We start from the raw sequence: 26,909 nt of genomic DNA, 5'->3' as shown, positions 1-26,909 counted from the left end.
TTAATTGGCTCAAAGTTCTGCAGGCTGTACAGGAACCATGGCAGCATCTGCTTCTGGGTAGTCCTCAAAGTGCTTTTACTCATGGTGGAAGGCAAAGTGGGAGCAGATGTTTTACATGGCAGGAGTAGGACCAAGAGAGAGAGGTAGGAGGTGCCACTCTTTTGTTTTGTTTTGTTTTGTTTTGTTTTGTTTTGTTTTGAAACAGAGTCTCACTCTGTCACCAGGCTGGAGTACAGTGGTGCAATCTCAGCTCACTGCAATCTCCACCTCTCAGGTTCATGCCATTCTCCTCCCTCAGCTGCCTGAGTAGCTGGGATTACAGGCACACACCACCAAACCCAGCTAATTTTTGTATTTTTTTTTTAGTAGAGATGGGGTTTCACCATGTTGGCCAGGATGGTCTCGATCTCTTGACCTTGTGATCTACCAGCCTTGGCCTTCCAAAGTGCCAGGAATACAGGCATAAACCACCTTGCCTGGCCAGTGCCACACACTTCTAAACAATCAGATCTCACAATAACTCATTATAGTGATGACACCACCAAGCGGGGATGGTGTTAAACTGTGAGAAACCACCCCCATGATCCAATCGCCTCCAACCAGAACTCATCTCCAACATTGGGGATTGCAATTGAATATGGGATTTCGGTGGCAACACAGATCCAAACCATATGAAACAGAAAGAAAATGAATATGGAAAAGAGCATAGCTACAGAGACATGTGAGACATGAACAAGGCTATCAACAAATGTATTATGGAAGTATCAGAAGGACAAGAGAGAGAAAGAAAAAGACAAAGAATATTTGAAGAAACAGTGTCTAAAAGCACCCCAAATTTCATGAAAAAGTGTAACCTACACATCCAAGAAGTTTAATTTAATAAACTACAAGTAGAATAAACCCAGAGACTCACACATTGACACATCATAATGAAAATGTCAAAAGGAGTGAATTATCATGTGGAAGAAATCCTCAATCAGGTAACAATAGATTTATTAAAAACTGTAAAGGCCAGAAAGTAGTGAGATGACTTATTCAAAGTACTGAAAGAAAATGAGTGTTAACTGAAAATTCTACATTCAGCAAACTTATCCTTTAAAAATAAATTTAAGTATTCCAGAAAAATAAAATAGGAGAGAGTGGAAAAGGACACTAGGCCATAACTTGAATCCTCACAAATAAATAAATAGCACCAGTAAAGGTAACTACATCGGTAAATATAAAAGACGGTATAAACGTATTTCTGTTTGAAACTCTTTTTCTCTGCTATATGACTTAAAACACAACTTCAACAAGCAATAATTGTAAAATGATGCTAATTGGCATTGGCTTATAATGTATAAGAATATAATTTGTATAAATAATAGCACAAAAAAGGAGAAAGAAATAGAAATATATGCATACAGGCATACACACATATATGTGGTTTTATATATTATTGAAATTAAGTTGGTATTAATCTGAAAAATATTGTTTCAAGTCCAGTCAACTACAAATTCCAAGACAATGTATAAACAATATTTCCTGAAATATAATCAAAGAGACAATACAAGGATGAAAGTAGTATTATTAAAAGTATCTACTTAACACAAAAGGGAGCAATAATGGAGGAATAGAGAAACAACAAAGAAAAAATAAAACTTATATAATTAGTAATCATGTTAAATGTAAATGGATAAACATTCCAATCAGAAGGCAGAGACTGGCAGAATGAATAGGAAAAAAAAGAGTCAACAGTATACTTTCTAAGAGAGATACACTTCAGTTGAAGACAAAAATAGACTGAAAGTTAAATGACAGGAAAAGGCATACTATGCAAACAGTGACCAAAAGAGAGTTAATGTGGCTATAATAATATCAGACAACACAGACTTCAAGACAAAAAATGTTGAAAAGCAGAGGACATTTTATAATTATAAAATGGCCAACGTATCAGCAAACAATTATAACTATATATATATTATATATGTATATATATTATATATATAACAGAATCCCAAAATACATGAAGCAAAAACTGACAGAATTGAAGGGAGAAATAGTCAGTTCAACAATGGTAGTTGGAGCATTCAATACCCCATTTTCAATATAGGATAGAACAACTATCCAAATAACAGAGATAAGATTTGAAAATTATCATAAGCTAATAAGACCTAACGGACATCTATAAAGCACTCCACCTGACAACCCCAGAATACTTATACTTCTCATGTGCACTCGAAACATTCCTCAGGATAAACTATATGCTAGGCTATGAAACAAGACTCAATAAATTTAAAATTATTGTAAATGGAGAGAGTGGTTTCTCCTATCTTAATGAAATGAAATTAAAAATCAATTATAGAAGGCCATTTGGAAAATTCACAAATATGTGGCAAACAACACATCCCTAACCAATGGGCCAAAAAATCACAAGGAAAATTGAAAATATTTTGAGATAAATGAAAACAAAACAACATAGTAAAATTTATGGAATGCAGCTAAAGTAGTGCTCAGTTGCTCAGTTATAGCTGTAAACACCTATGTAATAAAAGAAGAAAAATTTCAAATAAACAACCTAATGTTCCACTTTAAGAAACTAGAAACAAGAGCAAACTAAATCAATGCAATACAATGGGAGAAAATAGTATGAATTATAGTGGAAATTAATGGAATATAGAATATAAAAACAATACAGAAAATAGACAAAACCAATAATGTGTTATGTTAAAAGAAAAACAACAAAAAAGACAAACATGTAACCAGACTGAACAAGAAAAAGAGTCCCATTATTAAAATCAGTATTAAAAGAGGAATAATTTCTACCAAGTTTATGAAAATAAAAAATATTAAAATGGATTATTAAATAAATGTATATGAACAAATTAGATACCTAGATGAAATGAACAGATTTCTGTAAATTCACAAACTATAAAAACTAACCCCAAAAGGTATAAAAAATCCAAATAAACCTACAATGACCAAATAGGTTGAATTACTAATTTTTAAATATCTCAAAAGGAAAAGCACAGGAACACACAACTTCACTGGTATATCCTGCCAAATATTTTTAAATTAACACCAATATTAAACTCTTTCAAAGAGCAGAAGATGAATGAACACTTCTCAAGTCATTTTAAGGAGGCAGTGTTCAAACCAGATGAAAATATTACAAAAAGGAAACTACAAACCAGTATTTTTTGAGGAATATGTACACAAAAATTCTCAACAAAATAGTAGCAACAATTCAGCAACCTAGAAAGGGTCATGCACCATGAACAATTAGGATGTATCCCAGGAATGCAATGTTAATGTAAAACATGTTGCTATGGTTTGAATGTTTGTCCCCTCCAAAACTCATGTTGAAAGTTGTTTGCCTTGTGGCAGTGTTGAAAAATGGTACCTTTGGGAGGTAATAGGGCCATGAGCTCTTTCTTCTCTTGAGTGGGATTAATACCATTATAAAAGGGCAAGTTTGGCCCCTTATTGTTTCCTTACCTCCCACTTTGTCATGTGGGGACCCAGTATTCCTTTCTTCCAGAGGACCCAGCAAAAAGGCTTTTACCAAATGTCAGCTCTTGGATTTTGGACTTCCCAAACTCCTGAACTGTGAAAATATAAATTTCTGGGTTTTGTAAATTACCCAGTTGTGGTTTATCAGCACAAAATGGACTAAGATACATGAGAAAATAAATCCATGTCATATGCCATATTAATGAAAGAAAAAAAAAGCACATGACCATTTTAATAGAGAATTGGACAAATTCAACAACTCTTTATGATAAAAAATCTCAGCCAGAGTAGGAAGACAAAGAAACTTCCTAAATTTGATAAAGGGTGCCTATTAAACATGCTCAGCTAATATCATATTTAATGTTGAAAGTCTGAAATATTTCTTCATAAAATCAGGAACAAGCATGCCAACTCTCAACAATTTTATTAAACATTGTGCCTAAGGATGTTCCCAGGTAAATTAAGCAATAAAAAGAAATAAAAGTTAACCAGATTTGAAAGAAAGTAGTAAAACTATCTTGTTTCACAGATGACACATTCTTGTATATAAAAAATCTTAACTCCACCAAAAAACTATTAGAACTAATAAATGAGTTCAGCACATTGCAAGATACAAGTTAAATATAATAAAATCAATTGTATTTCTATATACTAGAAAAAAAGACAAAATTAATAAAGCAATACTATTTACAATAGCATCAAAAACAATAAAATAGGTGTATATTTAATAAAAGTAGGGCAAGATTTGTACATTAACAAGTATGAAATATTATTGAAAGAAATAAAAGAATAGCCAAATAAACAACCATTCCATGATCATGGATCAATACTGTTAAGCTGGCAATACTCCCCAAATTAATTTCTAGATTCAATACCATCTTTATCAAAACTCCAATGACTTTTTTGAGGGTCAGAAAAGGGAAAGTTGATCATCAAATTCATTTGGTGGCAACCAAACCAACAGCTAAACAATTTGGTGATATCTATACAATGGAGTACTACTCAGTTATAAAATATACATATATACGCACACACAATTGCCTGGGTCCATCCTTCAGACCCTGAACCAAAGACACACACTGACATAGATAGCATGCCTGATTGCTTTGCCAATCTTGCATTACTGGGCAAGCTAAGAGCTCCCCTTTTAATGCTGCATCCTTAAGACAAGGTCCCATAGCTGGAGCATGTCTCTTGTCCTTTTTCCTATTTATTGGAGGAGGGGGCTCATGTAAAATCTCCGTTTCCTCTTTGTTATTTTGGCCCGTGATATTGGGCCTGAGGGAAGAGGAGGCGGTAAGGCAGGTGACAGTTCCTCCTCCTTCCACTTTTTAGGTTCTTCTGTGTGTAATGGAACCGGAGCAGCTCTAACTAAAGCCCATAGTGTTAGAGCTGTTACTGGGACCCGTTGCCCTTGTGCATAATGTTGTTTAAGATTTCTCCTGGCTGCGTGCAGTAGCTCATGCCTGTGTTGGAGGCCAGGGTGGGCAGATCACGAGGTCAGGAGATCAAGATCATCCTGGCTAACACTGTGAAACCCTGCCTCTACTAAAAATACAAAAAATTAGCCGGGCATGGTGGTGGGCACCTGTAGTCCCAGCTACTCAGTAGGCTGAGGCAGGAGAATGGTGTGAAACCGGGAGGCGGAGCTTGCAATGAGCTGAGATGGTGCCACTGGGCACAGAGCAAGACTCCATCTCAAAAAAAAAAAAAAAAAAAAAAAAAGGTTTCTCCCTAACTTGTTCTCAGAGCTCTACGTATGGACTATGGTTTACAACAGTTTGCATTAGGTCCCTTAATTAAGACTGTGAAACTGAGGCTCCACTAGCCTTAAGCAGCTGTTTCAATATTTTTATATACTGTTTTTGTTGAGCTGATGACTGTTGTCCCATGATGAAACTTCAGCCTGAACAATCCCCCGCCAAACTTGGAAATCCTGACTGGGCATCAGTGACTTACTGACTCACTGACCTGCACAGTCCTTTTCACCTTCGTTTTTGGGGGGTCCATCATGCTCCCTTCGCAGTGCTCCTCACACAGGGCACCAGCTTTGTGGGGGGGGTGGTCCATCCCGCAGACACTGACCCAATAACAGATGAATAACGTACACTGACACAGATATTATGCTTGTCAGTCCAGCTGAGCATCCAGGCCACTTACAGACTCCAAGGAGAGTGCTGTAAAGAGTAGCAGCTGGGGCCCCGACTCACTGGCCTTCCCAGCATTTTTTCAGTATACATTACATGACAAAAGCTCTCAAGTAAACACCACTAGAGGTAATTACCATTGCCGATCCCCCCAGAGTAGAGAGCAATCATGCACCCGCGGATGGCCAAAGGTTAGTCTTAAGACCACATGATTAAACAAGCTATTTAGATAGACTCCTCTACATTCCTGTGTTAATTATCCTTGCTATAGCTCAAAGACGATTAGGCTGCCTTCAGCCATAATTTTATCTTAAGGCATTTGCAAAAACCTCAGGCCTTCCAAGAAGTTTGTATTTATTTTATAATTTTTCCCACCATCCTGACTGAACCCCTACATACAATAACATTAATAAATGGTAAAATGTTGTTATAGAAAAGAAATACATGCAAAATAAGTTATACTGAATAATTTATTTATGTAAAATTCAAGAATAGGCAAAACTAATCTAGGGCTATAAAAATAAGAATAGAAATTACTGGAAAGGTGGAGATGGAGTAGAAGTGGATGTGAGATAACCTTCCAGGCTTATTACAATATTTTATATTTCAACTAGGGTGTAGGATACCTGTCTGTGAACATTTATCAATCTGTATATATAAGATCAGTGCATTTCTCCTTCTGTAAATTATATCTCATTTTTTTAAGAAGTACAAGTCAAATTCACCCAATTATCAATTTTCTGAAAGCCAATTATTTATTTTTAGGTTGACCTTTTTCTCTGCCTCTTCCCCGAATCCAATTTTTCTATTTCATTTGCAAGTAAATGAACTTCCAACAGGCATCTCTTTTTTATGTTTTCAAACTTACGTCTTTCTGCACCTGCCCCAGAAGCTCCCAAAACAAATCAATTGTCAGTTTGTAGCAGTTGTTTCATGCCAAACTATTGAAACAGGAGTAAGGCAGAGCAAGATATGATGCCACAAGATAAGAGATGATAGCAGACTCCAATTTAAGTAAAATATAATGCATTTGCAAGTAAAACATCTTGTTAGGGAAAGAAAATTCAAGAACAGTGCAAAAGCAAAGAATGGGGTCAGGCCACTTAAGAAGAAACTAAACATTCAAAAAGTTGTTAGAAAAGAATTTTTAAAATACTTCCTCATTTGAAATAAAAATATGGCTCACAGTAACTTCTTGTCAGCTTCCATTTGAATATAGGAAAAATATCTTATTTTTAAAAATCCTCTTTTTAAAATAGATCTCATGGTAATAGTGAACAGCATCGTGGTTACCAGAGGCTGGAAGGAGTAGTGGGCAGGGGAGATGAAGAGGGGTTGGTTTTCATGGGTACAAAAATAGAGCTAAATAGCAAAAATAAGTTCCAGGGTTTGGTAGTACAATAGAGTAACTATTGTTAACAATCATTTATTGTATATTCCAAAATAGCTAGACAAGATTTAGAATATTCCCAACACAAAATAAATGATAAATTTTTGAGATTATGATATTCCAATTACCCAGACTCAGTAATTACACATTGCATATTTGTTTCAAAACATCACATGTATCCTATAAACATGCACAACTATGTATCCATAAAATTTAAAAATAAATGTTTTAAAATATGCTTTTTAAAATCTTCTGCTATGGCATTAAAAACAAACACATGGACCAATGGAACAGAATAGAGAACCCAGAAACAAATCCACACACAATGAATTCATTTTCAACAAAGTTGTCGAGAACATACTCTGTGGAAAAGACAGTCTCTTCAATAAATGGTTCTGGGAAAACTGAATGTCCATATGCAGAAGAAAGAAACTAGACCCCTCTCTCTCACAGTGCATAAAAACCAAGTCAAAATGGATTAAAGACTTAAATCTAAGACATAAAACTATGAAACCACTACAGGAAAAAATTGGGGAAAAGCTCCAGGACATTGGTCTGGGCAAAAAGTTCTTGAATAATACCCCACAAACACAGGCAACCAAAGTAAACATGGACAAATGGGCTCATACCAAGTCACAAAGCTTCTGCATAGCAAAGGAAACAATCATGAAAGTGAAGAGACAACCTACAGAATGGGAGAGAGTATTTGCAAACTACCCATCTGGACAAGGGATTAATAACCAGAATATATAAGGAGCTCAAACAACTCTACAGGAGAAAAAAATCTTGTAATCTGATCAGAACATAGGCAAAAGATTTGAATAGACATTTCTCAAAAGAAGACTTACAAATGACAAATATATGAAAAGGTGCTCAATATCATCGATCATCAGAGAAATGCAAATCAAAACTGCAATGAGATATCATCTCACTCTGGGTTAAAATGGCTTATATCCAAACTACAGGCAATAACAAATGCTAGTGAGGATGTGAAGAAAAGGGAATCCTTATACACTGTTGGTGGAAATATAAATTAGTACAACTACTGTGGAGAACAGCTTGAAGCTTTCTCACAAAAAAGTAAAAATAGATACCATATGATCCAGCAATCCCACTGCTGGATACATACCCAAAAGAAAGGAAATCAGTATATTGAAGAGATATCTGCACTCCCTTGTTTGTTGTAGCACTGGTCACAATAGCTAAGATTTAGAAGCAACCTAAGTGTCCATCAACAGATGAATAGATGTTGAAAATGTGGTACTTATACACAACTGAGTACTATTCAGCCATAAAAAAGAATGACATCCAGTCATTTGCAACAACATGGATGGAACTGGAGATCATTATGTTAAGTGAAATCAGGCAACTACAGAAAGACAAATGTCACATGTTCTCACTTATTGGTAGGATCTAAAAATCAAAACAATTGAACTCATGGACATAGAAAGTAGAAGGATCATTACTAGAGGCTAGGAAGAGTAGTGGGGGGAGGGGGAGGAGGTGGGTGTACTGAATGGGTACAAAAAAATAGAAAGAATGAACAAGGCATATTGTTTGATTGCACAAGACGGTGACTACAGTCAATAATAACTTACTTGTACATTTAAAAATAACTGAAAGAGTGTAGTTGGATTGCTTGTAACACAAAGAATTGAGGGGATGAATACCCCATTCTCCATGATGTGATTATTTCACATTGCATGCCTTTATTAAAATATCTTATATACCCCACAAATATATATACCTACTATGTACACACAAAAATTAATTTTTAAAAAAAAAACCTGCTGTATTAAAATTTTAGTAGCTTTCAGTGATTATTTTAATTCCTCTTCTGGGTTTCAGTCTCTCTATCTCTTTTTTTCAATTAATTTCATTTCCATGGTTGATGCTTTAAAAATGTCTTCAGCCTTTAAAGCATATTAAAATATATATGCTTTGCTCTGTATAACACTACACACACACACACACACACACACACACACACAAATTATATTTCACATTTTGTTCTTGTAATGAAAGTTATTGCATTTTTGCTGAGATTTGCTTTTAGATAATTGGCAAATATATATCACACTTCATTTAGATGTATATGAAATGCTACAATATTTTTTTCTTCTTTTATTTTTTCTTCTTTGGAAAAATGTTTTTAATATGTCCTTCTCTAAAGAAACATTATCTTTCAGAAAAATCACACAGACAGCTAAAAGATGTATTCCAACCCCATACCAATAATATTATTGCAACTTCACCATTTGGGATTTGCCTGGATGAATAAATGACAAAATAAATAAATAAATTTATTCTCTTGAGTTTATTTTTCAAGTGAGTAACCATATTTTACATTATAAAAGCAGCATCTTATTATAGCAAAGCCATAATGTCATTCTTTTTTTCAACTTTTTAATGACAGGATTTAAAACTCATAAACTCTAATCAAGTAATTTTTTGATGTACTTACTCTTAGTTACAAGGATGCCCTTTAATCATTTAAATGTTTTCTCTTTAAAAAAATAAATAAAGATACTTAACGGTAGCAATAAAATTTTTATAATTCTATTTTTGTTGGTGTATTGTGCACCTGAAGACACCACAGACAAAATTAAAAAGTAAACAAGGTGGGTAAAGTATTTGTAGTAAATAAAATCAACCACAATTAATATCTCTTGGAAGGATGTACTGAGTTCAGTCAACTCACAAAAAAGAAACAAAAACCAATCAATAAACATATGGGGGATATGTCCCCCTTGGAACCAAATATGCGTTAAAGTAGCACAACACTATTTTTACCTAGCAATTTGATAAAACTTAAAATGTCAATATTTATTGTTAAATAGGAAGCAATAAGTTAGCTGAAGGGAATGTAAATTGGAATAAGCTCTGTAAAGTACTTTAGCTACAGATAGCAAAGCCTTGGAATTGTTCATACTTTTTTATATAGAAGTTCCACTTCTAGTAATTTATCCAAAGGATAAATTGCACAATAAGCACAAAGTATTATCATAGCAGATCTCTGCCAAGTTTAAATTATTAGAATTAAAAATGTTTGATAACTGTATTAGTCCATTTTCACACTGCTGATAAAGACAGTGGACTTTCTTTCTGGACTGGGCAATTTACAAAATAAAGAGGTTTATTGTACTTACAGTTCCATATGGCTGGGTAGGCCTCATAATCATGGTGGAAGGCAAGGAGCACCAAGTCACATCTTATATGGATGGCAGCAGGCAAAGAAAGAGCTTGTGCAGGGAAACTCTCATTTTTAAGACTATGATCTCATGAGACCCCTTCACTGTCACGAGAACAATACAAGAAAGACTCACCCTCATGATTCAATCATCTCCCACTGGGTCCCTTCCACAACACATGGGAATTATGGGAGCTACAGGATGAGATTTGGGTGGGGACATAGAATGAAACCATATCAGTAACCAAAATGTACAAAATTTGGGCACTAAAGTAAATTTAAAAGAGCCTATATTTGATGAAATGCCATACAATGCCCCTCGAAATCACACTTCTGTAAGACTTAATGCTAGGAATAAATGCTCATAACTCAATCATAAGTGAAAAAACAAAAGCAAACTAATAAAAACAAACAACTATACACCTACCCAGTTTGACCACCTGTATGTGAAGGGGCTCTCTCTCTCCTGAAAAATTCAGGGGAAATTAAATTATCTTTAATTAAATTATCTTTAATCAGCACAGACTGACTTAGAATAGGCATATGCAAAAACCTCTGAAGGAGCAGAAGAGCATCCATGCAAGCAGCTACCAGCTCTGGAGAGGAAGCCCCCATACATTATATCACTGAGATTTGTCACTTACTTGAAAATGTTGGCTAAAATGGGCAATTAAAAAACATAGATAGAAATACGATGACATAAAAACAGATGATAGGCAACAGATTGATGAATCAATAGATAGAGTTATTCTTTTGCCAACCTTGTGATATCTGACTAATGCTTAGATCTCACATATAGATCTGCTGACTATAGTTTAGTGTCTTATTATTGATAAACATATACAAACTTTTAAAAATCTTTAGTTTTCTGTATATACTTTTTTAAACCTAGAACACAACTTAAAGTTAGTCATAAGTAATATAAGTGTAAACTCTTTTTTAGCTGTTTTCCATTCTTTTATTTATAATTATATATATTTGGCTCACCTAATCCTAATTTGAGAGCAATTTCTTTTTAGTGACTTCCATTATTGTGTCTTTCCACAGCTTTCATGTTAGCCTTCAAAAATATAGTAATTCCATTTCTTTATCCAGTCATATTTCATTAATTTACAGAAATTTAATGTTTTTTTGAGATAAAGTTGCCCAGGCTGTTGCCCAGGCTGGAGTGCCATGGCACAATCATAGATCACCACAAGCTTGAACTCCAGGGCTCAAGTAACTCTCCCTCCTCAGCCTCCACAGTAGCTGGGACTACAGGCACATCCCTGTAGTCCGGGTAATTTTTTGTAGTTTTACTTGAGACAAGGTCTTGCTATATTGCCCAAGCGTGTCTTGAACTCCTGGCCTGAAACGATTCTCCTGCCTTTGCCTCCCCAAATCCTGGAATTATAGGCATTACCCACAATGCCTGTCCATAAATTTAAATTTTAATTTGAGTTACTTTATAACAAAAAGTCTAAACTATGTGACATTAGCTTAGTGGTCAAGTCAGAAAGGAAGATGAAATGAGGAAGCAATAATTACAATTTATGTAATGCAGTGCTAAAAAGTGGAGAAAAAGAATAGCAAGATTAAACATCACTCCAAATAGCTGAGTAAACACCAAAAGTCATCATGGAACTTAATTTTAATGCCTGATTAATTCTGAAAAATCTGCTATTAGCTACAATACAGAGATTCACAGTAAGAAATCTATAGCTATTTATTCTTTTGCTAACAGTATTTACCATATGTTACAAACAGCTGAATTGTCTTTTCCGAGCTCAGTGAAAAGACTATGAGTTATAATTCTAAAATTTCTACTGTTTTGGTTTTCTGTATATCATTTCCAACAACCTTGTAAATTGTCTCAATATGATATATGGTAGGAATTTTAAAACACGTGTTGCCTCCATTTGTAGCCTCCTCACTATTCCCCACAAGTAACAGGACCTTTAATCTAGCTATACATAGTAAAACTCCAAGTAGAAGAGATGGGCGTGGTTAGAAGGGACAGAATGGAATTCTCACAAGAAGGTTGGCTGGGATTGCATTATGGTTTGAACGATGGTGTCCCCTCCAAATTCATGTCAAAATGTAATTCCCAATGCAGCAGTTTAAAGAGGAGGGACCTTCTGAGTAGTAATTAAGTCAAAAGGGCAGAGACCTCATAAATTGATTAATGGCCTCCTAAAACAGGCTTCAGGGAGAGTTAGCCTCTGCTGCTCTTCCACTGTTTCTTACGTGATGATGTGCCATTCCTTCCCTCCAGAAGATATAGCAACAACAGTACACCATCTTGGAAGAAGAGACCAGGTCCTTACCAGACACCAACGTTGCTGGCATCTTGATCATAGACTTCCAAACCTCCAGAACTCCAGCATAAATTTATATTTTATATAAATTACCTAGTCTCAGGTATTTTACTATTACAACCCCAATGGATGAAGAGAGCTTGTTCCCTTGCTGAGGGTGCACATAAGAACACTTTGTCTGTTTTTGGTTGAGCAATTTGGGAGAGCCCAGTTTAGACTAGCTACATCATATATAAAATAGTTTTTCCACTCAGGTACTTAAATAGCATATACATGTGCTGCAAGCTACTGGTGACTATACATTTTTTTACAATGATAAATTTTTTGCAATGCAGACAAGTTTACCATAGTTAAAATTATGTTTGAATACTCTTTGTGTGGTTTTCTTTCTGAACACTGTTGGAATAAAATTCTCCATGACTTTCTCATATTTCCCTATGTCTTGTAAGCAGTGTTACTAGCAGATATTTTTCTGGACTATCTTTTGAAGGATGTTTGGATAGCAAGGACCCATGGAAGATGGAGATATTATCTACCTCTGAGGCAGAGTGCAGGTCTGTTTTCTGTGCAATATAATAAAAATAATGTCTCCTTTCAGAGCAAAGATTGGTCAAGTTTGCTTTCAGCCATCTTATAATACATTGGGGTTTCCTAAGCATGAGGTTTCTCAGCTGTGATACTAACACAGTGGGCACAGCATCCACCTTGACCCATCTATACATTGCTCCTGTGGGGCTTAGTGTGGGTAAGAGCAAGGGGAAAAATGAAACTTGAAATTCATGCTACCTGCTGTGCCAAGGGTAATACAATCCTTTGTCTTTGAACAAAAATAAAATTCCATGTCTGCTGGTGACATCCGTGAAACAGTGGCAAGCTAACTTGTTAATTTACAGGTAGAATAAAAATCTCAGATCCTTCATAGTTCTTGATAAACTTCTAAATTTAAAATTAATACTTTTGCACACATGACCTCATCTGCTTTGAGAGAGTGATCTGTATTTGCAATACCTCTTAATATTGCCAGGTTGTCACTATAAATATATGGATTCAGAAGTTTCCTAATTTTAGTATAATAGATTCCCTAAAATGTGACGTTCAAAGAACATGTTTTTTTTTTAACTAATATTATTTTCCAGAAAGAGACTTGGACTTCAGAGGAATCATCTATTCACTTTCAGAGTCTTGTGGACTTTTATATCTTCAGCATTCAGAGATAGAATTAGCAAAAAAGAGGGCTAGTTTGGCCATTCTTATCTGTGTCAACTACAGAGGAACTGTCACCTAGCTCATGTCACTGAAAATTTTTCTTTCTGATTCCTGTTCAGTTCCCTGGAAAGGTATGTATGGTTTGTTTTAAAATGTACATTTCTTCTGTCAAGGCATATATCCACTGCTAAAATATAAAATATCTTTTTAACTGTATTTAACTTTTATTCCCCATATGCCTTGGCAGAATTAGCTAAACCTGCAGATATGAATATTAAGATTGGGTATGAATCATGTAGGTGTCCTATTAGGAGCTTTCACAAATCCTTGAACTGATTCACGTTCAGCCATAAGCATCTCACCTATACTCCTGCTATAGCAGCCTAATTTATCTCTGTATATTAGTCAGGTTCTTCAGAGAAATAGACCACATAGGATACCTATAGATATAGAGGAATATATTCATTTATTAGGAATTGGGTTGCACAATTATGGAGGCTGAGATGTCCCACTATCTGCCATCTGCAAGCTGGTAGGCCATGAAAGCCAGTGGTATAGTTTCAGACCAAGCCTGAAGACCTGAGAACCAGGGATCTGATGGTGTAAGTTATGGTTCGAATCTAAGGCCCAAGAATGAGGAAAGCCAATGTTTGTAGACAGGAGAAGATGGATGACCCTGTTCAAGTAGAGAGAGCAAATTTGTCTTTTCTCTATTTTTTAATTTTGTTTGGACTTTCAATGGATTGGATTATGCCCATCTACATTGGTGAGGGCCACTTTCTTAATCTACTTATTCAAATGCTAATATCTTCCAAAAATTCCTTCATATTAACACCAAGAAATAATGTTTTACCAGCTGTCTGGGCATTCTTTAGCCCTGTCAACTTAACATATAAAATTAACCGCCACATCTTGATTTCACTATTGCCTTCAAACAATCTTCTACAGATAGCCACCAAAGTAATTTCAAACATAAATTGTACCATAAAATATTCTGTAACTAAAATGATTGTTTTGGATATATATTCTCTAACTCTTAAATGGTCCTTAATCAATAAATCTGCACCATACATTAAATCCATTCAGTTAGTTTGGCATACATTTGGAGCATCTACAAGAAAGGAATATTGCTCAAGGTTAAAGATTCTATAAATATTTCACTGAGTTTTTATTTATGGCTGAGGTGAGCATTTGTTTACACCTGCTTTCAAAACTTTCCAAGGTAAAATTATTGCACGTCTGCTCTCTGATTTAAAATTTGTGAGTTTCAATTGCACATTCATTTAGATACTGGGTCAAGCCTCAGATTACATTTTAACAATAACACTAATATTTCCCACAGGTAGCCTCAGCCCAACTCCATGCAGAAAAAGAGTGTTTCTATAAGATGTGTCTTTATCAAGTTTCTCGCTTTTAAATCTTTTTTTACTCCTTTCAAATATCAAACACTAGTTTTACATTTAATCAACAACTCAGAATGCCTGTACTCCAAGTACTTGTCAGAGTATAACCACAAAATCAATACTGATCAATACTTCTCACAAACTATGTTGAATGAAACTATTTATAGATGATTATCTGAATAGGTAAATTCTTATCTGAAGAACAGATAAACTCATTCATCTACTATGAAATATCTCATTGGGTTAAGTATGATTGTCAAAGAACTCTGAAACTTTTGGCTTGACCAAAAACTTACTGTGAAAGAAATTCAATTTGACATTAGGCTATCATTATTTTTTGAGAATTTTTTAAAATAATAAATTGCATTTCAGTAACAGGCATAGCTTAATATTTTGTGTTGACTATGTGCCCAGCACCATTCTAAGAATCATATGCAGCCGGGAGCGGTGGCTCACACCTGTAATTCCAGCACTTTGAGAGGCCAAGGCAGGTGGATCACGAGGTCAGGAGATCAAGACCTTCCCGGCCAACATGGGTGAAATCTCATCTCTACTAAAAATACAAAACTCAGCTTGGCATAGTGGCACATGCCTAGAGTCCCAGCTACTCAGGAGGCTGAGGCAGGAGAATCACTTGAACCCGGGAGGCAGAGGCTGCAGTGAGCCGAGATCGCACCCACTACACCACTCCAGCCTGGCAACAGAGCGAGACTCCATCTCAACAACAACAACAACAACAACAAAAAGAATCGTGCATCAGATTTCATTTACTATTCACAAAAAAAAAAAAAAAAACTTGAGTTATACCCTACTGTTTTCAATATTTTAACAATGAGGAAACTAAACCAACAAAGAATTTTCTCAAGCCCATTCATCTTATAAATGGTGGTAGGAAAATTTGAACCCAATTTAAGATGCCATTCCCTTAATCATTACAGAAACCACTACTGTAGTTAATTTCAGGATGTAACTAAGAAGCGTTTTATTGCATTTATATAGTGCCTCTCCATGAGGACTCATGGAAGGAATAGTTTCTTCATATCAGTAGAAAGAAAAAAAAAGTTATTCTTCTTTGAAGCCAAAATTTCTCCTTAATTTTCTAGAAGTTATAAATTATTTGACTAAAAATTTATTCATTTTTGGATTGCTACTCAAAAGTTTGGACCCACAGTGGTTCATATTGGAGCAATTGATCAATTTTATAAACATACATTTTACATATTAGACTCATCAAATTTCCCTCCTGTTGATATTAAATGTAAATATTTATCAGATATAAATATAAATCAGACACAGCTAATTGGTGGTAGTCAGAAAATCTAAGTTTCTGGTCTCCAAATATTCTTTCTATTGTGCTATCCCCAAATATTTTCTGATGAAGAAAGATAAGGCAAATACAAAAAAAAAATAATAATAAGATGAAACCAGCCTACAAACAGCCGAGTAAACACTAGAGACCACAACATTGGTTTATTGCATGGTTAACTCTGAAAAACTAAAATTCACTAACTGCAACTTTACAGACTGTGTGTGTTTGTGTGTGTGTGTGTGCGTGTACATATCTATAAGGGAAGGAAGGAAAGAAAGGAGGGATGGGGGAACAGAGAGGGGAAGGAATTTATTGTCACCTGTTAAGTAAGAAAAATGATAAATCTTTTCATCTCATTTTGTAGTTAATTTAAACTGGACTTCACTAAAGAAGTCAAAACAAGGCTGGGTATGGTGGCTTACACCTGTAACCCCAACATTTTGGGAGGCCAAGGTGGGAGGGTTGCTTGAGCCCAGGAGTTCAAGACCAGCCTGAGCAACATGGCAAGACCCCTCTCCAACAATTAGAAACTTAGCCAGGTGTGGTGGCATGTGCCTATAGTCCCAGCTACTAGCAGGGGGGTGGGGGTAGGGGCACTGAGGTGGGAAGATCACTTAAGCCCAGGAGGTTAAGGCTGCAGTGGGCGGTGTTCATGCCAATGCACTCCAGCCTGGATGACAGAGCAAGACCCTATCTCAGGGGAAAAAAAAGTTACATAATTATAATATTATACATGCCTAGTTCTTCTGCTAAGAGAATTTCTCTGTTATATACCTACATGACCCTGGTTTCCTCATATAAATCCATACTTCCAGTCACTGGAACTGGACCAAGAGTGAGTACCTGATATCAGGGTAGCCAATCCACCTGTTTGCACATGAGTCATGGCCAGGAAAAAATGAATACATTTACGAATTAGATTTTTTTCTCTGTCAACAAATTGAAGAGGGGATACTGAAAGATTATGTTGGTTAGCAGTGGAGCTATAATTGAATTGTATCATGCAGTTGTGTTAGGCCATAGCAAGCTATAAGTAGACACAGAGTGAGGAGGTTTGTTATTAAGTAAGGCATGAGAGTTTATTTTTTATAGCATGGTCAGGGAAGCTCTTTTTGTGATGGCATTTAAATGAAGATATGATAAGAGTGAGGAGGAGAGGTATAGTGGGTTGACAGTGCCTCCTCCCCCAAAAAAAGTTATGTCCAAGTCCTACCCTGCTACCTAGGAATATGACTTTATTTAGAAATAAGGTCTTTGTAGACATAATTAAGTTAAAATTCTCAAGATGAGATTATCCTGGATTAGGGTGGGCTCTCTACCCTATGACTGATATTCTTATAAGAGAATAGAGAAGGAGATGGGGAGACACAGAGACACAAAAGAAGGTGATATGAAGATGGAGGCAGAGATTAGAGTGACACATCTACAAGCCAAGGCTTGCTGGAAGACACCAGAAACTAGGAGAGATGCTTGGAATGGGTCTCCAAAAAGAGCCACACTGCCAACACTTGACTTTGGACTTCTGACCTCTGAAACTGTGACAAAATAAATTTCTGCTGTTCTCAGTCACCTATTTTGTGGTACTTTATTATAGCATCCCTAGAAAACAAATGCAGTGGGTAAGCCATATACATTTCTGAGGGAAGAACCTGCTTAGCAGGTTGGCTCTGAGTAGGAGAGAAATGGATGGTAGGAGATGTGGCCAGAGATTATGCATGTGAATTTGATATGTCTGTTATAACGCCAAGTCCCTGTAGCCAGGGAATGTTTTTGTTTTTCTGATTTATTTTTATCATGGTAAGTAGGAAGCTCCATAGAGTTCAAGTGGAGTTGATTTTTAAATTTTTGACAAAATATGGAAGTTACTTGTCAGCTTTGTGTATAGGCCCCCATCACCTCAAATGGGCCACATACAGGCAGCTGAGGAAAGCAGTGACACAGAGGAGGCACAGAGAAAGAGGCAGCAAGTCCAGAGAGAGAGATGGTAGAGATGAAAAATGACAAATTAGGAAGAAGCCAGTCCAGATTCTATCAAGGGTTCACATTTTGCTCAGTCAGCCTCAAGTTCTCTGAAATAACTGGTATAACAAAGTAATAGAAAATTGTAATATCTTTCTGGAAAATTCTGATTTACCAGATATGTGAAAATACATTGGTCTATTAACAACTCACTATGAATAAGTTTGTCAGATCAATTTTCCAAGAGCAAGCAACTGATAGAATTAATGGATAGTTAATAGAGGTTTAACCAAAAGCAAGGTTCGTCTCTGAGAAAAGTGAGATGCTAGAGTGAGATTCCATAGCAGATCACCTTCAAGACAGAAAAATGCACAAGAGCATCTATCCAGGAGGCCTCAAGAGTAGATAAGGAAAGATGAAAGAATTTAAGCTTTAAACATCAGGAAAGAATTGGAACAATGAGCTCCACTGATCAGTTCGTTTGTCCGTCTCTTTCATGTGTCTCTCTATAGATCTCCCTGTTTTATGACCTCTCCACAGACAAGCTTCATTTCCTTCACTGTCCATGCAATAAAACAACCAACCAATAATGCATGGGACTCCTGTATTACAATCTTGGAACCAAGGAAAAAATGACTTCCATTTTCACCTGTATTTCCAGGGAATGGCCTCAGTTACTCAAATGGTCTCATCTCTGGCCCTATCAACCATGGAAATGAATAAAATTACATAACAATAATAGTTCAATTCTCACTGCAACTATATGAATGAATGGGGAGATGATTTCTGAAGAAATTTTTAACCAATAACACAATAGGTAGGTATTAGATAATATAATATAAATAGCAAATATAATTATAATCAGCATATGCCCACCCTATTCTATTCAATTTAGGTAGTCTCTTTCCCCAGTCTATGCTCACCATTGTTAAGGGCAGTGAATCCATACTGGTATGCAGCAACCTCTATTCTTGCCTCCTCAGAGGAAAGAATTTGAGGGGCATAAGGCAGAGTGAGAGACTGAGGCAGGAGTAAAAGTTGAGTAAAAGTTTAGAGCAGGAATGAAAGAAAGAGGGACAAGTGGGCGACTTGACAGATCAAGTGCCCTGTTTGACCTGACCTTTGACTCGTGGTTTTATACACCGGCATATTTCCAGAGTCTTGCATCCCTTCTGCCCTCATTGTTTTCTTAGGGTTGCTGTCCGCATGCACAGTGGCCTGCCAGCACTTGAGAGGGGCCACATTTGCAGTGTGTTTACGAAGTTGTGCACATGGTCACTTGAGGCATTTTTCCCTTACCAGCTGCATGTTCGTAGAGGAAGATTGTATACCAGTTAAACTCTGCCATTTTGCCTCTTAGTGCACATGCTTGAAACAACTCACCTGACTCCTAAAATCTTATCAGAGAGCTGATCACCAGTTTCAGGTTTTTCTGTCTATTGGGAGACTGTCTTTCCCTGGCACTTGATGCAACTAATTATTAGGTTTGTGCATAAGTAATTGCTGTTTTGCCATTACTTTTATTTTAGAGAAACAGTTAACAACCACTTGACCATCACCTGATGGTCATCGGACATTCCTGGTTGGGGAGAGGGGCCCTCTCCTTCCCTGCTCATGTCTGACTAGCTGCCTACTATAACATTTCACACGTCAGGAGTCCAAGACCCCAATTCTTTGGGGAAAATGGATGAAGGTCAGTCTTCTGTAACTGCCCCCTGCTGACAGAGGGACCGTGGTGGTTGTTCTGTGGGCCTTAGGCTCTTGTTACCTGTCAGGGCAGTGTGACTCCATGGGATGGTAAAAGCAGTATCTAGCCAGGTCCAAGGGAGAGAGGGGCAGGATTTCACCTCTGTCTTGTCCCACTGATGGGGCATTCTATCGGCCCCCTACAGAAGGGTGGCTCTTGAATATTAAGGGGATGTATCACTCACTGAGGATTATCTGGTGCTTGATGGCCTGAAGGCAAGAGAAGACAAATCAGGTTATTAGATTTAGAAGTTGTCAAAACGAAATAACAGGGTGAGGACAGCTCCAGAAAAATATCCTGAAGCTGCTGCCATGCCCACATAGCTGAAAGCTATAGTCATGCCTGCTAAGACTTAGGGGGATGGAGCTGCTAGCCAATTCCAATATGTGCCCAGCATTAGAATCTTGATCCAGATTTTTGCATTACTCATCCCTCCTATTTCTTTTGAGCTGAAGCTAGAGATCACTAGTTGGTTCACAGAAATAAGCAGGGTTAGTCTGAATTGCAGATAAATCTCAAAAACTATTGATGAGACTAGAATCTAATAACAAGTACCATGGTACATTAACATAATTTTTCTCTCACCAGTTCTCATTTCTATTAAAAACAAATCATGATAGAACTGATTTATTTGCGAAATAAGCTTTAGTCTTATTATACTTGGCCTGGCTATTTGTATAAAGCACAGCAAGAATAACTATTTGCCATATGAGCTACTTTTTAAATTGGCTTTGATGGAACTTTGTTCCATGAGAAATCTCAGAGAAGACTTTTTAAAACCTTAAGCCCAGCCATGGGTTTAAATCTTCAAATACCTGTGCCATCAAGTAACTGTATGAGTTGAATAAATACCTTTCTGCTTGAGGTCCCAAGATAACTTGGGGCTCCTGGGCCTGTCAGAAAGTGATATTCTTTACTTACCACAGGTCAGGAATCCTGTACAGGAACTGTGTAGAGTAGGTATGAGGCCAGTTTTCCCAAAGGGCTTTTATTGGATCTATAAGTCAAATATGATTCCTTAAAGGAAAGCACAAATTCCAGTTAGCAAGGCTTTACAAAGTCTTGGTAAAACAACCAGTTTCCAATTGTGTCCTGTTGCAAAAGAAAACAGATTCTTACTGCACTTATGCAAATAACTATATTCACATGTTAAGAATATTCATAGTTTCCTAATTCTAGAGAAATCAGGTAGAGAGAAACAAATATGCTCCAAATTTTGTTTACAGCAGTATACTTTACTCAATTGTTAAAAGGTGTAAATAGAAGAATTATTTCAGTCTTCTATTAGGTCAGTCCATACAGTTGACTTATGCTCTGCTTAATATTCGTGAGCATTTCAGCTCTCCTTAAGTGTCCTGAAAGTTTTTCCTCTATTCTCATGTCACAATCTGCAAATCAGAAACCTGCATTTAAGAACACCAGTTAGAGTCTGATAGCTGATTATAAAAACACATTTTAAAGAACATCAAAACAAGACAACAATTGTATGTAGATTAAAAAGGTCTTAGGGAAGCCACAGTCAAAGGCACAATTGACAAGGAAATTTGTTAACCTCTGTGGCACAAAATAATTTGATACTTATAACTATTACTGATAATATATACTAAGTTACATCAGAATTACAGGAGTTTCACATGATTATGGCCAAATATTACCTTTGCTTTAGTGTACTATTAATGTTAAATCCAGTTCCTAATAAAACCTTATAGACAAATCTACTCAATCTTAATCAGTTTGACTATAAGGTAAGATTCTCATCACCCTTTATAATTTTCTGTTAAAGAACAGAACAACGCTCTAAAAAACATGCTGTGCTTTTATTCCAATGTTAAATTTATGGAAAAACTGAAAAATACCCCTTTAACTTTAGCCAACATGATCACACACAGAATTTCTTTGACAAAATTATTTGACAAACCTCCTACAACTTGCTTTAACCTTCAGCTTTATCCTATCCACCTAATAACAATCCTTTAACCCTCTAAGCTAGGCAAAAAAAATTACATTCCTATGCCTTCTTATAATCTTTTACTAAAAGTACATTCTACTTTCCTTACATGCCTTGCATTGAAAACTGTTTTTCCAGTAACCTCAAATATATGTTACACTGTTAGCACTTAGCAACTTTTACTTTTAGTGTACAACCTGGTAAGTAAACGATTTTAGTTATGTACTAGGTGTGGAGCCTAGGACATCAGATGGAAGTGCAGATAAGGTTTGACTCTTACAAGCATAGCTAGGGGGCATGGCTAACTCCAAATCAGAAGGGAGTTAGCCATGGCTAACTCTGTATGTCCCCAGGCCTTATCTGGGGGAGAATTTAATGGCTTTAAAGCAGGCAAGCTGTACATTTAAGAGTCATAGTAGCAGTGTATGAAGCATTTAGTATGCCTAATAACCTTTAAAATTATATATTATTTCTTTATGTAAATTCCCTTTCATGAATCTTTTTATGACCTACACAGAACATCTATGACATGCTTGGACTTTCTGACTTGTCCTAAACATCCCTCTTTTTAAACAACATTTTAAACAACTCTTTTTAAACAGTCATTTTACTTTAGGACAATAATTTACCATACAAGATCCTTTCTCATATAAAATCTACTTTCTGTATAACCTTTCTTACCAAAAATATTTCTTTACCTTAATATTCTTTGAATTAGACAGAAGTCATTTCCCTTTCTGTTAGGAAGTCATGGTTTGTACTATGTGTTGCCATGAGAGTCCTGTGAAGGGGGAACAGATAAGGAGTTTATCTATATACTGTAGGAGTTATCCCCCTTCAAGAGATTGCTCAGTTAGATTTTTTGCTAGGGTCTATCCAAATAAGGGTGGGCTATTTCTAAACCCCTGAGGAAAGACAGTCCAAGTCAAAGTTATTGGTTAAAGATTTAGGTATCTTTCCCAGAAGAAATAGGGATACTAGAGCAAAAGACAAATTTAGAGGTTGAGTAAATATTAAGCTGGCACCCATTTTGAAAAGTATATTTTTGCCCCAAAGGGTCGTGATCCTTTTCTTTAGGAGAAGGAGCTGTCATTTACCCCATTACCTGACAGGATTTGGAGGACAGCTGCTCAAAGGATATTAGCACAGAGTAGGAAGCTCTTGAACCTAAAAGGTGAATTTATAATTTTACTTGCCACCTCCAAAGTTGCTCTTGCCCTATTGTTGATGATGTCTAATCTTGGAGTTGGCTGGAGCAGAGAGCCCCTTCAGCTCAAGCTCATCAAAGGTTGAGATTCCATCCTGGGGGCCCTTTGGCCTTCAGGGCAGTCCAGTTTTAGTGGTTGAGCTTGCGGCAGAGGGGGCAAGCAATGCAGGGCTTTTTCCTATTTAACCCATTGGGGAGTTTGCCTTCCAGTGAGCCTGGCTTTCCATACCGATGGCAGTTACCTGGAGGAGTGTCCTTAGGATGACCTGGAGGGGACTGGAGAGCTTATAAAGCAGCCAATAGTTGAGCCTGCCTCTTATCTTTGTGTTTGTTCTTCTTTTTCCCTCTGTCCTCTTTATTCTGCTCTCAGTTGTAAAAGACTGAAGAGGCTAATTTGAGGATTTCCTGCATAAGGTTACTGGGGTCTCAGGCTGATGTTTGTATTTTCACCCAGTTCATTTTTAGGTCAAACAGTATTACAAAGTAAAACTAGTTTTTGGCTTTTTTTTAAGGTTTAGGAGAATCAAACTTTTTCCAGTTTTTGGGAATAATCCAAGGGGCAAATCCTCTGGTATGGAGATGGAATTACTCATCTGTGAAGAGACAAGAGAGGAGAAAAAAAGGAAAAAGAAGGTGTCCCTCTTACTTTCCTATTATCCTGAATAGGGCATCCCCTATTTGTCCTTAGCATTCTGGAATAAATCTGTCTTACTGTGTACCCTTAACCTTGGTCTCATCTTGTCACAATTACCCACTTGAGAACACAGGAGATACTGGAGTGACAGGGAGCCAACTGTTCATCCTTGGGATTCTGAAATAACCAGTCTTAACCTTGTCTTTATCTCTGTTCTAGTGGTAATGTGTTAGCCTGGAACCAACCTTCATCTCTCTCTAATGGGTCCCTTGAACCTGTGGTCTTGGGCTGGGCTATATCCTTGTCTCCATGACCTTACAGTGACTCTCACTCAGAGTATTCTACCAACAAAACGATTATCTCTTTTCTCAGCTTCCTATTTCCCATGGTCTTTGAGTAGATGAGAAGCCTGTTTTTTAGCTAACTACTGCGAGGGACTGGACTTCTCTCCCTTTGAATATGATCTTGAAGGTCTTGATGCATGTTGAAAAGGGTATGGAAGTGTCAGAGAATTTGAGGGAACAGGAGTAGGAGTAAGTGGGAGGAAGCAAGAGGGATACTCATAAAAAGCCTTCATATACTTGCAGAAACAGCAGCCCTTAGATTTGAGAAGGAAACGTTTATTTGCCCTCTTGACATAAAGCAGTAACCTCCAGAGGACTTGGGCCTTGGGGAAAGAACTTGCAAATGACAAGAGAATAACTGTTCTTCCTCCTAAAGGGGTGCTAACTCAAAAAAAGAAGGTAGGTGGGATCCTTAAAAAAACACCGAGTGAGGCCCCATGCAGGCAGACAAACTGCTTCAAAAGCCACCAAAAAACTTAGCCCTGGAGTATAACAGGGACAAAAAGTATATGGTAAGTCATAAAGAGCTGGCAGAGTCCAGGTTCCAATTACTGTTGGTCCCAGCAATGTGCCAGCAGATGGGAAGAGTTGGAAGTAATCTGAGCTGGTAGGGTAAAAACAAATAAATCTCAGGGGATATTTGCAAGAGAGCCTGCGTATTTGCTTCCATGCTAATGCAAGAGCCACAGGTACATGACTAACAGGGATTATGTATTTAAGAAGTCATGTGGCATGTGAGGTGAAAGTAAAGAAGAGGCAGAGATGGATGGTCTTGTGGTGCACACGGCCATTTCAGAATACGCATGGAGAACAGGTCGTGGGGGTTTTGGGGAAAGAGCCAATTTTAGTTGGAAAAGCAGAGGAAACTGCAGACATTGCATGGTCTTACACTTTAGACTTACCACTCTCACAAGCCTCTCATCCAGGAGGGCCATTAGTGTCTCAGTTCTACTCTGTGCAGACTCCAAGGTCCTTCCCAACACTGCAAGCCACCCATCAGAGTGAGCTGAGGGATCAGCCACGGGGAGCAGAGCCACCGTGGCTGAAAGCGGGTTGGTTAGTAAGCAAGACAGTGAAAGGGGAGAAGGAAACTGTGTACAAGGATTGAACACCTTCAGCCAAAGAAGGCAAGGCATAGAGGTGTGTTACCACTAGGGAATGTATCCAAGTCATGTGGCACCAAAGTATGTCAGCAGCAGTGAATCTGTATGGGCCTGAAGCAACCTCAATTCTTACTCCCTCAGAAGAAAGAATTTGAAGGGCATAAAGCAGAGTGAGAGACTGAGGCATGTTTTAGAGCAGCCGTGAAAGTTTATTAAAAAGTTTAGAGCAGGAACAAAAGGAAATAAATTGTACCTGGAAGAGGGCCAAGCAGGCAACTTGAGAGATCAAGTGCCCTGTTTGATCTTTGACTTGGAGTTTTACATGTTGGCATACTTCTGAGGTCTTTCATCCCTTCTCCCAATTCTTCCCTTGGGGTGGCCTATTTGTATGTGCAGTGGCCTGCCAGCTCTTGGGAGTGGCTGCATGCTCAGTGTGTTTACTGGAATTGTGCATGTGCTCACTTCAAGCATTTTTCTCATACCAGTTGAGTGTTCCTAGGGGAATTCATACACCAGTTAAACTTTGCCATTTTTCCTCTTAGTGTTCATGCTCGAGCCCAGTCACCCAACTCCTGAGACCTTATCAGGAAGCTGATCACCAGTTTCAGGTTTTTCTATCTATTGGGAGACTACCTTTCCCTGGCGCTGGATGTGCCCAACTATTATTTTAGAGAGACCGCTAACAACTGCCTGACCGTCATCTGATGTTCAGCTGACATTTCTGGTGGGATGCAAGGAGCCCTCTCTTGCCCTGATCATGTGTGACCAACTACCTACTGTAACACCATTACTGATTCTATTAGATTCATGAAAATGCTGTGTAACACACAGAAGCTGCTAATATTTTCAGGAATCCATTATTCTCATTTCATGTTGATAGCAATGTCATTGAGAAGCTCTTTGAGAAGTAATTTGGCAATCGTTATCAGGAACCAAGAATATGTTTTCTCTTTACATATTTCTAAAGAAAAAAATTGAAATAAAGCTTAACAACGGTGAGCATATCAGTATTATTAGCAACTTTTCCCGCTTTCACTTTCCTCTCTCTCTCTCTCGTAACCTCAGTAGTGTCTCCTCTATTTCCATTTTCATTCTCCACTCTTCTCAAAAGTCGTTGTCTTAACTGAAGCCTTAATATCTCGCCTTGTACCTTAGGCATTTGCAATATATTTTTATCAGGACAGCACCTCTCTGAAAGAAATGTTAGTACCCATTCTTAACATTATTTATGACTATGACAAATTGGTAAAACTTAACAGTTAAACACTACAGAAACAGGCAGTTATAGCCATTAATGCGATTATCTTAAAACTAACAAGAACATGGAATAATTGCCATAAACAAATGCTAGGGTAAAAAGACTGAATTCAAAATTTAATCCATGAAGTGAATATAACCACTAAAAAATGAGATGGATATATATGAATAACACCTTAAAGGAACAATGAAAAAGAGCAAATAAAATGTATCACCAGTGGTTTAATATACAGACTTTTGAGTGAATATATTTCTTTCAGAATCTTTGCTATGATT

General features: G+C 37.0%; 1 long non-coding RNA gene across 1 annotated transcript in view; it reads right to left on the bottom strand.

Annotated features, from left to right (window-relative positions):
* Nucleotides 1-19,893: 19,893 nt before the first annotated feature.
* LOC105374439 (uncharacterized) overlaps nucleotides 19,894-26,909 on the bottom strand; it is a 45,914-nt gene continuing 38,898 nt past the window's right edge. Inside the window, exons 2-6 of the long non-coding RNA XR_925277.3 lie at nucleotides 25,630-26,567; nucleotides 23,538-23,888; nucleotides 22,787-22,869; nucleotides 21,062-21,543; nucleotides 19,894-20,349 (exon numbers count right to left, since the gene is read on the bottom strand). This is a non-coding gene — a long non-coding RNA (uncharacterized LOC105374439). The remainder of the gene's footprint in view (nucleotides 20,350-21,061; nucleotides 21,544-22,786; nucleotides 22,870-23,537; nucleotides 23,889-25,629; nucleotides 26,568-26,909) is intronic.

This window comes from Homo sapiens, chromosome 4, assembly GCF_000001405.40.
Source record: "Homo sapiens chromosome 4, GRCh38.p14 Primary Assembly".
Classification (NCBI taxonomy): Eukaryota; Metazoa; Chordata; class Mammalia; order Primates; family Hominidae; genus Homo; species Homo sapiens.
This window is presented reverse-complemented; position numbering and strand designations above follow the sequence as displayed.